The 13768-nt window shown below is 34.5% G+C and overlaps 1 long non-coding RNA gene across 2 annotated transcripts in view; it reads right to left on the bottom strand.

The window, feature by feature from the left end:
• LOC105374191 (uncharacterized) overlaps positions 1-13768 on the bottom strand; it is a 237185-nt gene that overhangs the window by 46239 nt on the left and 177178 nt on the right. The window lies entirely within an intron of this gene.

Raw genomic sequence — 13768 nt, 5'->3', positions numbered from 1 at the left:
TGAATAAAATTCCCATTGGAGGACGTTCTCTTTTTAATTATTTCCTACTCTGCATAACACAAAACATTTTGAGGCAGATTTCAGACTATAGTTTCTCTTTATAAACAGAAAGTTTTGTTTTAAAAAATGCATACCATTTCTTGAGTTAGAATAGACTAAGGAAGTGTAAATGCTACGGCGGCGTGGACTAAATCAAGGTGGTATTTAAAACACTATTTCAACAAAATCTTCCTTGGCTATGCTGTACTTCTACAGCCTGATTAGTAAAATTAGTTCACATGACAAAGGGGTTGGGAAATGGGGCCAACTGTGTTATGCTGGAAAGAACGCTAAACCACAAATCCATTCTAATTCTATTACTTACAAGTTGTCCTCTTCATGCTTACACAGAATAGGCTTTATTTAGTTTACAAATTGGAATGCAGCAATGATATTTTAAGCATGAGTATCACATCTTGAAATGTTATGAGTTGTATTTTCCCCTGAGAAATTTTAAAATTGATTTAGCAACTTTATTTTGCCTATTTTAGATTCCACAGGCATTATGTACTAATATAAATTCAATATATTTTGCTGAATAAATTAAATCTTATTCTTACTAAGGCCTTTGAGAGAATACAAAGTTGAATAAAATTTAATCCCAGCCCTCAGATATATTTTAATATAAAATTGAAAAAAAAACCTGTCACTTAAGGATATGATTACATTCAGCTGTATTTTTAGTTGAATTAAAGAAATTTTTAAGGTGCTGAAAGGCTTATAAATAGATTCTTTGGGCAATTAGCTTAGTCATCATGCTGCTTGTAGAGGGAAACTATTTGAATGTCACTATTGACTAATTTAGCTTTAGGTAAACAAAGAATCACTGGACATGTTTCAGTAAGTGAGTTCCATGGTCAATTTCCAAAATTCCCAGAGTATACAAATAGGGCAGCATAGACATAATGAATAAAAAATGAATAAACAAATCAGTTAGTAAATAAAATATTACATATTTTGTAACTTGTTTAATTTGGAAGTTTAAGAAACATGAGGGAGGAGGGTGATTAAAAGATAAACCTCACATTCTACTTTGAAGGAACAGTATACTGCTACTAGAAACGGAGAAATCTAGACTTTTTTAGTCTTTTGTGAAGGGAAGATAATTCAGTGTTGAAAATATTAAATTGGCAATGCCAGGGATTTCCGGTCACAATTTCAATGAGGTTGTTTGAAATGTTGAACAAACAACCCCATCAACAAGTGGGCAAAGGATATGAACAGACACTTCTCGAAAGAAGACATTTATGCAGCCAAAAGACATATGAAAAAATGCTCATCATCACTGGCCATCAGAGAAATGCAAATCAAAACCACAATGAGATACCATCTCACACCAGTTAGAATGGCAATCATTAAAAAGTCAGGAAACAACAGGTGCTGGAGAGGATGTGGAGAAATAGGAACACTTTTACACTGTTGGTGGGACTGTAAACTAGTGCAACCATTGTGGAAAGTCAGTGTGGCGATTCCTCAGGGATCTATAACTAGAAATACCATTTGACCCAGCCATCCCAGTACTGGGTATATACCCAAAGGTTTATAAATCATGCTGCTATAAAGACACATGCACACGTATGTTTATTGTGGCACTATTCACAATAGCAAAAACTTGGAACCAACCCAAATGTCCAACAATGATAGACTGGAATAAGAAAATGTGGCACATATACACCACGGAACACTATGCAGCCATAAAAAATGATGAGTTCATGTCTTTTGTAGGGCCATGGATGAGGCTGGAAATCATCATTCTTAGCAAACTATCTCGAGGACAAAAAAGCAAACACCGCATGTTCTCACTCATAGGTGGGAATTGAACAATGAGAACACATGGACACAGGAAGGGGAACATCACACACTGGGGCCTGTTGTGGGGTGGGGGGAGGCGGGAGGGACTGCATTAGGAGATATACCTCATGTTAAATGGCGAGTTAATGGGTACAGCACACCAACATGGCACATGTATACATATGTAACAAACCTGCACGTTGTGCACATGTACCCTAAAACTTAAAGTATAATAATAATAATAAAAAGAAATGTTGGCCGGGTGCAGTGGCTCACGCCTGTAATCCCAGCATTTTGGGAGGCCGAGACAGGCGGATCACGAGGTCAGGAGATCGAGACCATCCTGGCTAACATGGTGAAACCCCATCTCTACTAAAAATACAAAAAATTAGCTGGGCGCAGTGGTGGGCGCCTGTAGTCCCAGCTACCTGGGAGGCTGAGGCAGGAGAACAGCGTGAATCCGGGAGGCAGAGCTTTCAGTGAGCCGAGATAGCGCCACTGCAGTCCCGCCTGGGTGAAAGAGCGAGACTCCGTCTCAAAAAAAAAAAAAAAAAGAAATGTTGAACTAAAACACAAATATACTGATAAATGATTAATTTAATAATAGTAAAAACAAAAGTTTGATCTATGAATTCGATTATAAAGAAATAATTTCGATGATTGATAGTGATAAAGCCAAGTAAAAGAATCTTAGTGAATGTTAATAGGTAAATAATGACCTCGGAATTTCTGGGAGAAGTTTACAGAAGACTGAGAAAATAGATACCTCACTGGATAGTGAGAAAAAATTGTTTTTGTTGCTGTTGCTTATAATTATTTAATTTTATTTATTGTCAATTTATCAACATCGTAGCATTTTATATAAACGTATTTTTATCTCTCAACAAAATGCAATAGTAGATATTAAAATGTAAAGTAGAACAAACAAAAAATTCCATATCCTTTTAGATCAGCACATGAGTAGTCTTTAGTAGCCTTAATATTATGGTCAGACTCCAGCCCCACCCCTAGATTCTCATATAATTTATCTGGCATGAGCACAGATATTAACATTTTTAATATAACTTTGAATTCTATTGTAATCCAAGGTTAAGAAGCACTGTAGTCCATATTATGCTTATTGTCATTTGTTTAGCTATGAAAAAAATCAGTGATTTTTTTTCTAAGGCAGACATATCTAACTCTTTTGACCAAAAGTCTTAGTTTTTATTTATTTTTTTTAATACAGAGTCTCGCTCTGTTGCTGAGGCTGGAGTGCAGTGGCATGATCTCAGCTCACTGCAACCTCCTCCTCCTGGGTTCAAACAATTCTCCTGCATCAGCCTGCTCAGTAGCTGGGACTACAGGCACCTGCCACCATGCCCGGCTAATTTTTTGTATTTTAGTAGAGACAGGGTTTCACAGTGTTGTGCAGGCTGGTCACGAACTCCTGAGCTCAGGCAATTCTCCCGCCACCGCTACCCAAATTGCTGGCATTACAGGCGTGAGACACCGCTCCAAGCCAAGTCTTGATGTTTTAAAGGTTAAAAAGACCTCTAACCATTTTTCATTAAAGAAACCTGAGTTGCACAGACAGGATGATATTAACATACTTCTATGGAGGCTTATTGTGGGCCTGGGACTGTTCTATGCACTTTGCATATATTAACTGATGTAGTATCCATAATCCACCTATGGGAATATTCATTATACAGATGAAGAAACTAAAGGAGAAGCATACATGGGTTATGTATCATGCCCAGGGTCATACATGCATTCCATGGAAGATCCAGAATTTCTTTCCAGGTTATCCAGCTCCAGAAGCCATCTTCTGAGTTACAAAGTTGTTTTTCACAGTTCTATGATTTTCCTGACTCTGTTCTCAATTTTCTTTGCACCGTATGGTGCTACAGTTTTTTTGAGGCAGAAATTCTGGAGGTGAAAGGGGTATTTGGGGCACAAAACAACACTTTATAGAAAAAAGTAGGAAGATAAATGAGTAAATGTGTACTTGATGTTTTTATTTCTAGAAACTGAATCATGGGCATATATTAGTAATATCGTCGGTATTTTCACCTTGGCAGAAGTATATGGCCACCTCTCAATGAACAACTTCCTTTAAAATTAAAAATAATAGATTCATTAAAATTAGAATATGCAGATTTTATTTATCATATGGTACAAGTAAGCTATTTGCCAATAAATTTATGACTTTTTTGTCTTAAACATTAAATTTAAAACAGTACAATTTGCAACAAACTCATCATTCCTGCAAAAACTATCTTCATTATCAGCAACTGACATTATGTATACAACAGTGTGAAGTTATATTGGATCACTTGCTGGTGATAATCAAGGAAGGGTGCACTAAACCCACCTAGTAAAATATTATTGCAGACTAGGTATGTCAAGGGTAATATGTTACAATATTTTTTTTCTGCTCTACTGTATTATTCAGCTGCGTACATAAGAAGTAAAAACAATTTAAAAAATTAATGAGAGCTTGACTAGTCGTTTGGGATTTTTGTAGAAACTATGTCACAAAAGTGGCAAGTTATACAGTATGTATCATATAAATAAGGTGCTAGTTTCCTAATGGATTTTTTCTCTATTAAAAACAATAAAAAAAATCCATCAAACTTTGATTTTGATTCTATACGAGATACACATCTTTGATATATCTGTGTGAATAGAAACTCCTTAGCAACTGCTTAGTGAATTAATGTTAAATGGAAAAGTTATTTCCTTTATTCATTGCATTAATTAGTGATAACCGTTTTATATTAGACGTTTGTTGTGTTTTCATTGGCTATCACAAAACAGACACTCTCTGCTGATAAAGCATCCCCACAATAAGTTGTTTTTTTTTGGTTTTTTTTTTGTTTTGTTTTTTTGAGACGGAGTCTCGCTCTGTCGCCCAGGCTGGAGCACAGTGGCGCGATCTTGGCTCACTGCAAGCTCCACCTCCCAGGTTCATGCCATTCTCCTGCCTCAGTCTCCCAAGTAGCTAGGACTACAGGCGCCCACCACCACGCCCGGCTAATTTTTGTATTTTTTGGTAGAGACAGGGTTTCACCTTGTTAGCCAGGATGGTCTGGATCTCCTGACCTCGTGATCCACCCGCCTCAGCCTCCCATAGTGCTGGGATTACGGGTGTGACCCACCGCGCCTGGCCAACAATAAGCATTATTTATATCTTGCCTCTCATCATAGAAGTTAAGGTATCCAAATGTTTTCTTTTCTTACTCATCGACATAAGAGCCTAAGAAAGTTAAATTATTCTTTATTGGCCTGAAACTTTATAACCTTTATAATATGATTAATAAAATTGCCTTTTCTTGGAGAAAAAAATACTTACAGATTGTGGCTGTGGTCTATTATGCTCAAGTAAATCACATCGAAATCTGGGTGTGTTTTATCCAAAAGACAATTTACAAATAATGCAATAAACTGACCTTATAAAATAACTATAAATAAATTTCTCTCAGAGATGAATTCTGGCATTTGCACTAAGAACCATGACTAAGTATCATGTTTATATTTTTAAAGCACAAAATAAAATCATGTTCTTTTTACTATATTAAAAAGTCAAAGAAATGTATAATACGTTGAAAAATTATTTTTTCATCTAAAACAGTTTAAGGAAAATGTGCAGTTGCCATAGGAGATTTCAGAAAAATCTATGTTCTGTTTAATCATAATTTGCAAGAACTTAGTGACAAAAAGGATTAAGGAGATAAAAGTTGTCAGGTGTAACTCTCTAAAAGTTTATTTGAACATTAAAGAGTGACAAAAGAAAACATTTTGTATTTAATATAATGATAAAATAAGATGTTTGCTTTAATGTTTAACAGTTATAGGCTTCTGAAATGTTGCTTTTAAACAAATATTTTCCATTATTATTAAAATACTTGTTGTGTTAGTTTTTATTTCCTCCTCTAAAATTCCTCAACATTGTTCCAGAAAGTTATGACATATTTATAAAATAATATTTGTGTTTGAATCACAGATACTTAAATAATTTCATTCACATGACAAATACATTCTGGGGAAATCCTTAAAAGGAAAGCATATAAAAGTAGAGAGTTTCCTTTGGAATGTATTTAACTAAGTTTTTTGATATTATTTATTTATGATTAAACTATTGAAACCATAGTTTGCTGAAATACCAGTTTAACAGAGTACTTAAACCAACTTCAAATTGACATATATGTAAGCTGTAGTTGCTGTTTGTTTCAAGAATAAATGAATGAATTTTCATTGTTAAAATGTTTCTAGCCTGTGGCAGGCATATTTCTAAGTTGTTTCCTATATTACAGTACTGTGATAACAAAGTACCAGAGACTGGATGGCTTAATAGATATTTGTTTCCTCACAATTCTGGGAGCTAGATATGTGAAATCAGGATTTCTCTTTTCACTTTCATTTTTGTAGGGTCGATAAATAATCTTTCCCTCACCGATTCCAAGGTTCATAACTAAAGAGATCAAAAAAGAGATCAACAAGAGAAGAACATATACATTTACTTAACATAATTTTTACATGACATGAGAGGCTTGAGAAATCAAAAACTAAATAAATATGTAAATAGGTATATTTTTTATCAATAGTTGTGCAGAAGTATAATTTAAAGACAAAGGGATATGATTTAATGGTGATAAACAAGGAGAGAGGGTCAGCAAGACCTGTATGTTCAGAATATTCTTGGCATCCCTAGATGGACATTCCTTTCCTGTGGGTATAGGTCAGGACTTTTGTCATTTTTAACACGGTGAGGGTTATCAGGGGAGAAGACAGGGAGAAAGTCAGAGTGACCTAGGTTATATGGCTTGCTTCAAGAAAAGGCAAGAAGAAGGTGGCTATGGACTTCCTCCTTCTGCTGTCTTCTTAGATGGCAAGATGACATGTGTTGGGTTAGCTTGTCATGAACCCCGTTATCCTCCTGTATAACACTTCCCAAAGAAGTTTCACAGTCCAGAGACTACTTTGTGGATTATCCCATAAAACATTGAACTAGTGTCTCCGTCCAGTTGGACGGTTAACAGATGTGTCTCATTTAAGAAGGTAGTGTTGCAGGTGGGCTCCCACGAAAGTTAGGTTTCTAAGTGGTAATTATCAGTTAAGTATTTAACAAGAGGCATTCTGATGGAAAGAAAAGAAAAGCAAATATTAATGGTTAGAACAAACTATAAATTCAGTTTGTGAGTTTAGAGGGTAGCCAGTTGAGATTTCTAGAAGTTGAGCTCTAAACATCTCAGGTAGAGTGAAGTCAGGCAACGGCAATTTGACAGGTTTTCCTGGAATACAGTTAGCCTTGGGTGTTTTGATGGGCTTCCTGAGTGACAGGACGAAGTTTGTCCATGTATAAGGTATTGTAGATTTATCTGAAGTCTATATAGAGATATCCAGTTTTACTTGCAGGGCTTCAGAAATAGGCAAGTTATAATTTTAAGGATTTCAACCAAGAAGGATTGGAGAAAAATTGAAAGTATTATTAATTTGTGTAGTTGTAACCAGATATGAAAGAAAACTAGAAGAATTCAGGATTCAGTTCAGATCATAGGTAAATAACAAAACCTCCAAAAGAATAAACAGAATGAGGATCTAATGCCCACAAGAGTTTGTTATAGTTTTTCATAAAACATATTTTTTCTTTCCGGAACCATATTAAACTTTTTTCAAAAATAATTAGGGTAAAATTTATTTATTTGCAAAATAATTCTACTTTCATTAAACATGGCCCAATTAGTTACATAAATGCAGCAAGTGATTGATCGCATAGTCATTTCAGTCTGCTTTTCAAGAACTTTGAATAAGGAATCTCAGATTCGAAATTTAAAAGCTTTGCCTGGCTAAGAAGCCAAGCCAAGTGTTAACCATTTGATTACTTCTCAAATTCCTATAGACTTGACTGAATTCCACTCTTTTGAGGTTCCCAAATATTCCAAATATTCTGATGTTCCTGGGCTTACTAGGAACACATTCTTTACTCACCTGCATGGGAACCATGTATGCAGAATAGCAGAATACCAGGCATTTTTCTGTTTGCTTGTTTGTTTTTGTTTTTGTTTTTTCTTTTTTTTTATTATACTTTTAAGTTTTAGGGTACATGTGCACATTGTGCAGGTTAGTTACATATGTATACATGTGCCATGCTGGTGCGCTGCACCCACTAACTCGTCATCTAGCATTAGGTATATCTCCCGATGCTATCCCTCCCCGCTCCCACCACCCCACAACAGTCCCCAGAGTGTGATATTCCCCTTCCTGTGTCCATGTGATCTCATTGTTCAGTTCCCACCTATGAGTGAGAATATGCGGTGTTTGGTTTTTTGTTCTTGCGATAGTTTACTGAGAATGATGATTTCCAATTTCATCCATGTCCCTACAAAGGACATGAACTCATCACTTTTTTATGGCTGCAAAATTTACAAGAAAAAAACAAACAACCCCATCAAAAAGTGGGTGAAGGACATGAACAGACACTTCTCAAAAGAAGACATTTATGCAGCCAAAAAACACATGAAAAAATGCTCATCATCACTGGCCATCAGAGAAATGCAAATCAAAACCACAATGAGATACCATCTCACACCAGTTAGAATGGCAATCATTAAAAAGTCAGGAAACAACAGGTGCTGGAGAGGATGTGGAGAAATAGGAACACTTTTACACTGTTGGTGGGACTGTAAACTAGTTCAACCATTGTGGAAGTCAGTGTGGCGATTCCTCAGGGATCTAGAACTGGAAATACCATTTGACCCAGCCATCCCATTACTGGGTATATACCCAAAGGACTATAAATCATACTGCTATAAAGACACATGCACCTGTATGTTTATTGCGGCATTATTCACAATAGCAAAGACTTGGAACCAACCCAAATGTCCAACAATGACAGACTGGATTAAGAAAATGTGGCACATATACACCATGGAATACTATGTTTTTGTTTTTTCTGAGAGGCTTTATTGACTTAATAAAGTCAACCAAAGTTATTTAAAGTTGTCTGGTTATATCTGAAAATGTAACATTCCAGTTAAAGCCTTGGTACTATAACTAGAGTTTCCAAATTTGTTCCGTTACAAGGATAACAGATTCTTATTAAACTTATGCAAATAACTATATATTGCCATAAAATGTATAATACTAATGAGTAGTTTTCAAGTTCTGGAGGAATCAGGTAGGGAAAAAATAATTGGTGAAGTTTTGTTCACCATGATATACTTTTCAAAAATTTTGTAAGCCATAGATAGCTTAAGAAAAATAAACAATACATTTCCTTAAATCTGGAAAACAAAACATTAAAGAACCAGCAATGTTTCAAACAAAAACTCACAAAAACATTTATACCCTTCACTTCATTCAGCCCCATGTAATCAGTTCTTGTTCCACTTAATCTGATAAATACTTTCAAAAACTCTTCAGTTTCTTCATTAGAGTTCTGGAAATTCTTACTTAGTCCAGTGGTATGATTTAAAGTTATTGGAAACTTGCATTCTAGATAAATTGTCAGAGTCTTTTTCTTATCTCATTGAAAAAAGAAGCCATTTGGGAATGTAACTGATTGCAAACACTTTCATAAAATAATTTGAGTAAAACAATAATTGGCTATGGATGACAAAAGACTTAAAATAGTCATGGGTAAGATCTGATGAGAGTATATTATAATAATGATGAAACTGACAATGAAATTTTATTATTTCTGTGGCACACAACATTTTGAGATAATAACCAAAATTATTACTGACGACATTATACAAGGCCATATACATTTGTGGAAATTATATCCGTTTTTTGAAATAATCACATCAATAACAAATATAACTTAAAGAAAGTATCACTTAATATTTGACAATGACTCCTATGTAGGGCATATCAAATAAACCTAATTACTTTAAAATCCCTCTTTTATAAGGAGAGACAATAAATTGTTTTCAGATGTTTCAGGGGCCCATCTGAAAAGTCTAAAAATTAGTGCAAGATCAAAAAGACTTATTTTATAATTTGATTTTGGTAAGTTGTCAAAAATGTCAAAGATTTAAAATACTTGAGTAAATGGGATTATAGGTCACTCTGAAATAATACCAAAGTGATAAAAGAAATTGAAAGCAAATATAAAAAGTTACTCAGTTACATATAGACATAGCTTTTTTAATATTGAGAAGATGCACTTTTCTTAAGTAATTAAATACCTAATGAGGACAATGTAAAGCACAGAAAATTATCTTAATGAAACACAAAATATTTGTTTCTGAGGCAGATTACTTATGAGGCTGAAAAACAATTTTTTTATGATTTCTTAATTAAGAACAGACCACCAGCACAAATAAGAAACCCAAACAACAAAAAACTTCTTCATTTTGAGAAAAGAAAACAAATTTTAGTTTTGCATCAGTATACTATTAATACTAGGACTATTAAAAAATAAATACATGCATCCAATCTTAGCCAGCCCTGACTGCACAAGATAAGATTCCTTTTTCAAAACTTTTTCTAAGAAACTTTTTTTTTGTTCATCTTTCTTTTTTTCTCTACATTTTTCTCTTTCTTATTGTGGAATAACCAGTTATTCTACTTTAATACTGTAATGGTTAATAATGAGTGTCAACTTGATTGGATTGAAGGATACAAAGTATTGTTCCTGAGTGTGCCTGTGAGGATGTTGCCAAAGGAGATTAACATTTCAGTCAGTGGATTTGGAAAGGCAGACGCACTCTCAATCTGGGTAGGCACAACATAATCAGCTGCCAGTGCGGTCAGAATAAAAGCAGGCAGAAGAACGTGGAAAGATCAGACTAGTTTATTCTTCCGGCCTACACCTTTCTCCTGTGCTGGAAGCTTCCTGCCCTTCAACATTGGACTTCAACTTCCTCAGCTTTGGGACTCGAACTGGCTTCCTTGCTCCTCAGCTTGCGACCTATTGTAGGACCTCACCTTGTGATTGTGTGAGTCAATACTCCCCTTTAATAAACTCTCCTTTATATATACATCTATACTATTAGTTCTGTCCCTCCAGAGAACCCTAATACAAATCCAGAATTATTCCTTTTTCTCTTAACAACAACAAAAAAAATCCTCATGACTTATAACTTCTCTTGTCAAAAATGTATCTCATTTTTCTTACACATTTAGCATATATAATTGTCTCCTTTATAATTTGCAGTGGTTTTAATTCTATATATTAATTATAATTTTTAACCTTTAGTAACCTTAATTTCCAGTGAAAACTGAAAAGTAAGAAACTGTTACTTATTATACCAACAATGTATAGATGAACACTATTTCATAATTTGTAGAAACACGTCCTTCTTCATAGTATAATTTTTCATGTTTATTAACAGACTCAACATATTTTATCTTTCTATACAATTTAAGAGCCCAAAAGCAGATAAACTCAGGTTCAGCAGTTAATGTTTCAGTACTACATAGAACTGAAGTGACCCAGACATTGAATTATTACCTATTACTTAATTTAACTTAGCATAACATTAGGATTACAGTTACCAAAAAGATTTTTCAACTACTTATAAACATAATGATATGTGAAAAGTTTATTTATAAACATTTATCCCAGTTATATTCTATTTAATACCCTTGTTCTTAACAATTATGATTGAATTCTTCATCAAAATTCCATTAGACACTAGTCAAAGCTAACTGTTATCTTGTTTTTCTAGTAGACAAGTCAAGCAAGTATCACAAATATCACAGAAGCAAAGGAAGTTAAACATGGTTTTCCCCCTCCCTCCCTTTTTTTAAACTTCTATTCATCAGTCAATTCATTTTTATTGCATATTTGCTCTTAGGTTGTAATTATAGTTTTGTAACCTTAAACATCTGGTAGAGATAGCGTAGGCATGTTTGACTAGTAAACCTGGGTAGAAAAAAATGTATATTTGCATTGTATTTAATGACAATTATTAACACATTCTTGTTTTTATTTTACCAGTAATATTTAAACTAGTTTTATCTATCAAAGTTTATTTCATATTAGGTCAAGTTAAAAAAAAAAACAAAAAACTTGGGTTAGTCTCTATATGTCTGAAAGTTTTAGGAATACTTAATTTACATAAGCACTCATTTATCTCTAAGCAAATTCTAGTAGAACTTATTTATGTGATTCTATAAATTAATAATACCATCAAGTGGTAGAGAAGATCACACACAGAAATAACCTACAAACATAAATACAAAAACATATACAAATATACAGACAGATACAAATATCATAGCTTCCATTTTAAAATTTTAGTCGTGAGTCAGTAAAACATGGAAATATGAGCTCACTGGCTAATCTCAACTTACATTTTTATCAAATTTCATTTCTGACAAAAATGGGACAACTTAAGATTACCTGCTTACATGGAAAAAACATTTTATTATTTCTGGAAAAGACTTTTAAACTTTTTCATTTGCCCAATTTCCAAACTGTGTGTGTGTGTGTGTGTGTGTGTGTGTGTGTGTGTGTGTGTGAGAGACAGTAATCTCCTGAAGTTTTTAATTCCCAAAAGATAACTACCATGTTTAGAAGAGACAGGATAGAAAATTAACATATCGGATGCACACAGAAAGAATCTACATTTCTCTAAGAGGGAGTTTCAGATGATATTTGCATATTAACAGAGGTCAATCTTCCTGAGGTGGCGGGCTAGCTTTTAGGCCAGTGACTAGAAGAGATCTAGCAGCTGTTTTTCTCCAAAGCCCTTCTAAATAGACAAAATATTTATTTCCACATAGTCTTATTTTATTTCTATCTTCAAGTGGTTACTTTAGAGGGGAGCTTGAGACCCTTGAGAACAAGGGACTCAAGGGACTGAGAGGCTGGAGTGGAAAAATGTCTGTCAGGTGTGGACAGAGAGATGGGGGAGGTAGTGGCTTGAAACGGGAGGTAGAGGATTGAAAAGGGATATATCAAGGATTCAAAAAGAAAAAAAAACTGAAGGGAAAATCCAAGAAGTCAAAAAAGAAGAAGAGAAAGCAGAAATAAATGGAAAGAAGAGGTCCTAGAGGAGCCAGTATGGGGAGATCTTAAGTTTCTCAAAGAGGCCAATGAATTTTTACATTATTATTGGCAAAAAACATTCCAAGAAAAAAAAATAGTAAACAAATAAGAAAAGGCAGAGCATATAGTTAGCAGGGGTTTGAAAATAGGATTTTAGTCCACTAAGAAGAGTTCATGGAAAAGCAGAATCCAACAGAAACATAAGGTTTATATACTTATAAATCTGAGTAGAAAATTATATATTCATGGTATTTAATGACAATTCTGAATTTCTGAATACATTTTTATATTATATACATTATATGTAATATAATCTTTTATATATGTTGTGTACAGTATAAGTATGATATATTTGATATATACATAGCCTGAATTTAAATATCAGCTTTCAGTTAGGCCAACTTCTGACCACAGAGCTCTTAAAAATAAGTTTCTCAAATATTTTATCATCAAGTTTCAGTCAGGACAAACAACAGATATTTCTAGAAGTATTGATCTCTTTTTTACCTTTTTTTGGAGACAGAGTTTCACTCTGTCCCCCAGGCTGGAGTGCAATGGTGCAATCTCAGGTCTCTGTAATCTCTGCCTGCCAGGTTCAAGCAATTCTCCTGCCTCAGCCTCCTGAATATCTGGGATTACAGGCACACGCTAGCATGCCGGACTAATTTTTGCATTATTAGTACAGAGAGGGTTTCACCATGTTGCCCAGTCTGGTCTCCAACTCCTGGCCTCAAGTGATCTGCCTGCCTTGGCCTACCAAAGTGCTGGGATTACGGGAATGAGCCACCACACGGGGCCCCTTTCTTTTTCTTTTAAACCAACAGTACCTGTGAAGTGACTCAGAACCCAAACCAATAAGCCTTTAATAACTTATCCTTGGACAAAAGAGATGTCCTTCAAATAGGATGCAAGGCAGGGTGTGGTGGCTCATACCTGTAATCCCAGAACTTTGCG

The sequence above is a fragment of the Homo sapiens genome, chromosome 3, assembly GCF_000001405.40.
Source record: "Homo sapiens chromosome 3, GRCh38.p14 Primary Assembly".
Lineage (NCBI taxonomy): Eukaryota > Metazoa > Chordata > Mammalia > Primates > Hominidae > Homo > Homo sapiens.
The sequence above is the reverse complement of the archived record's forward strand: the minus strand, read 5'-3'. Positions and strand labels throughout refer to the sequence as shown.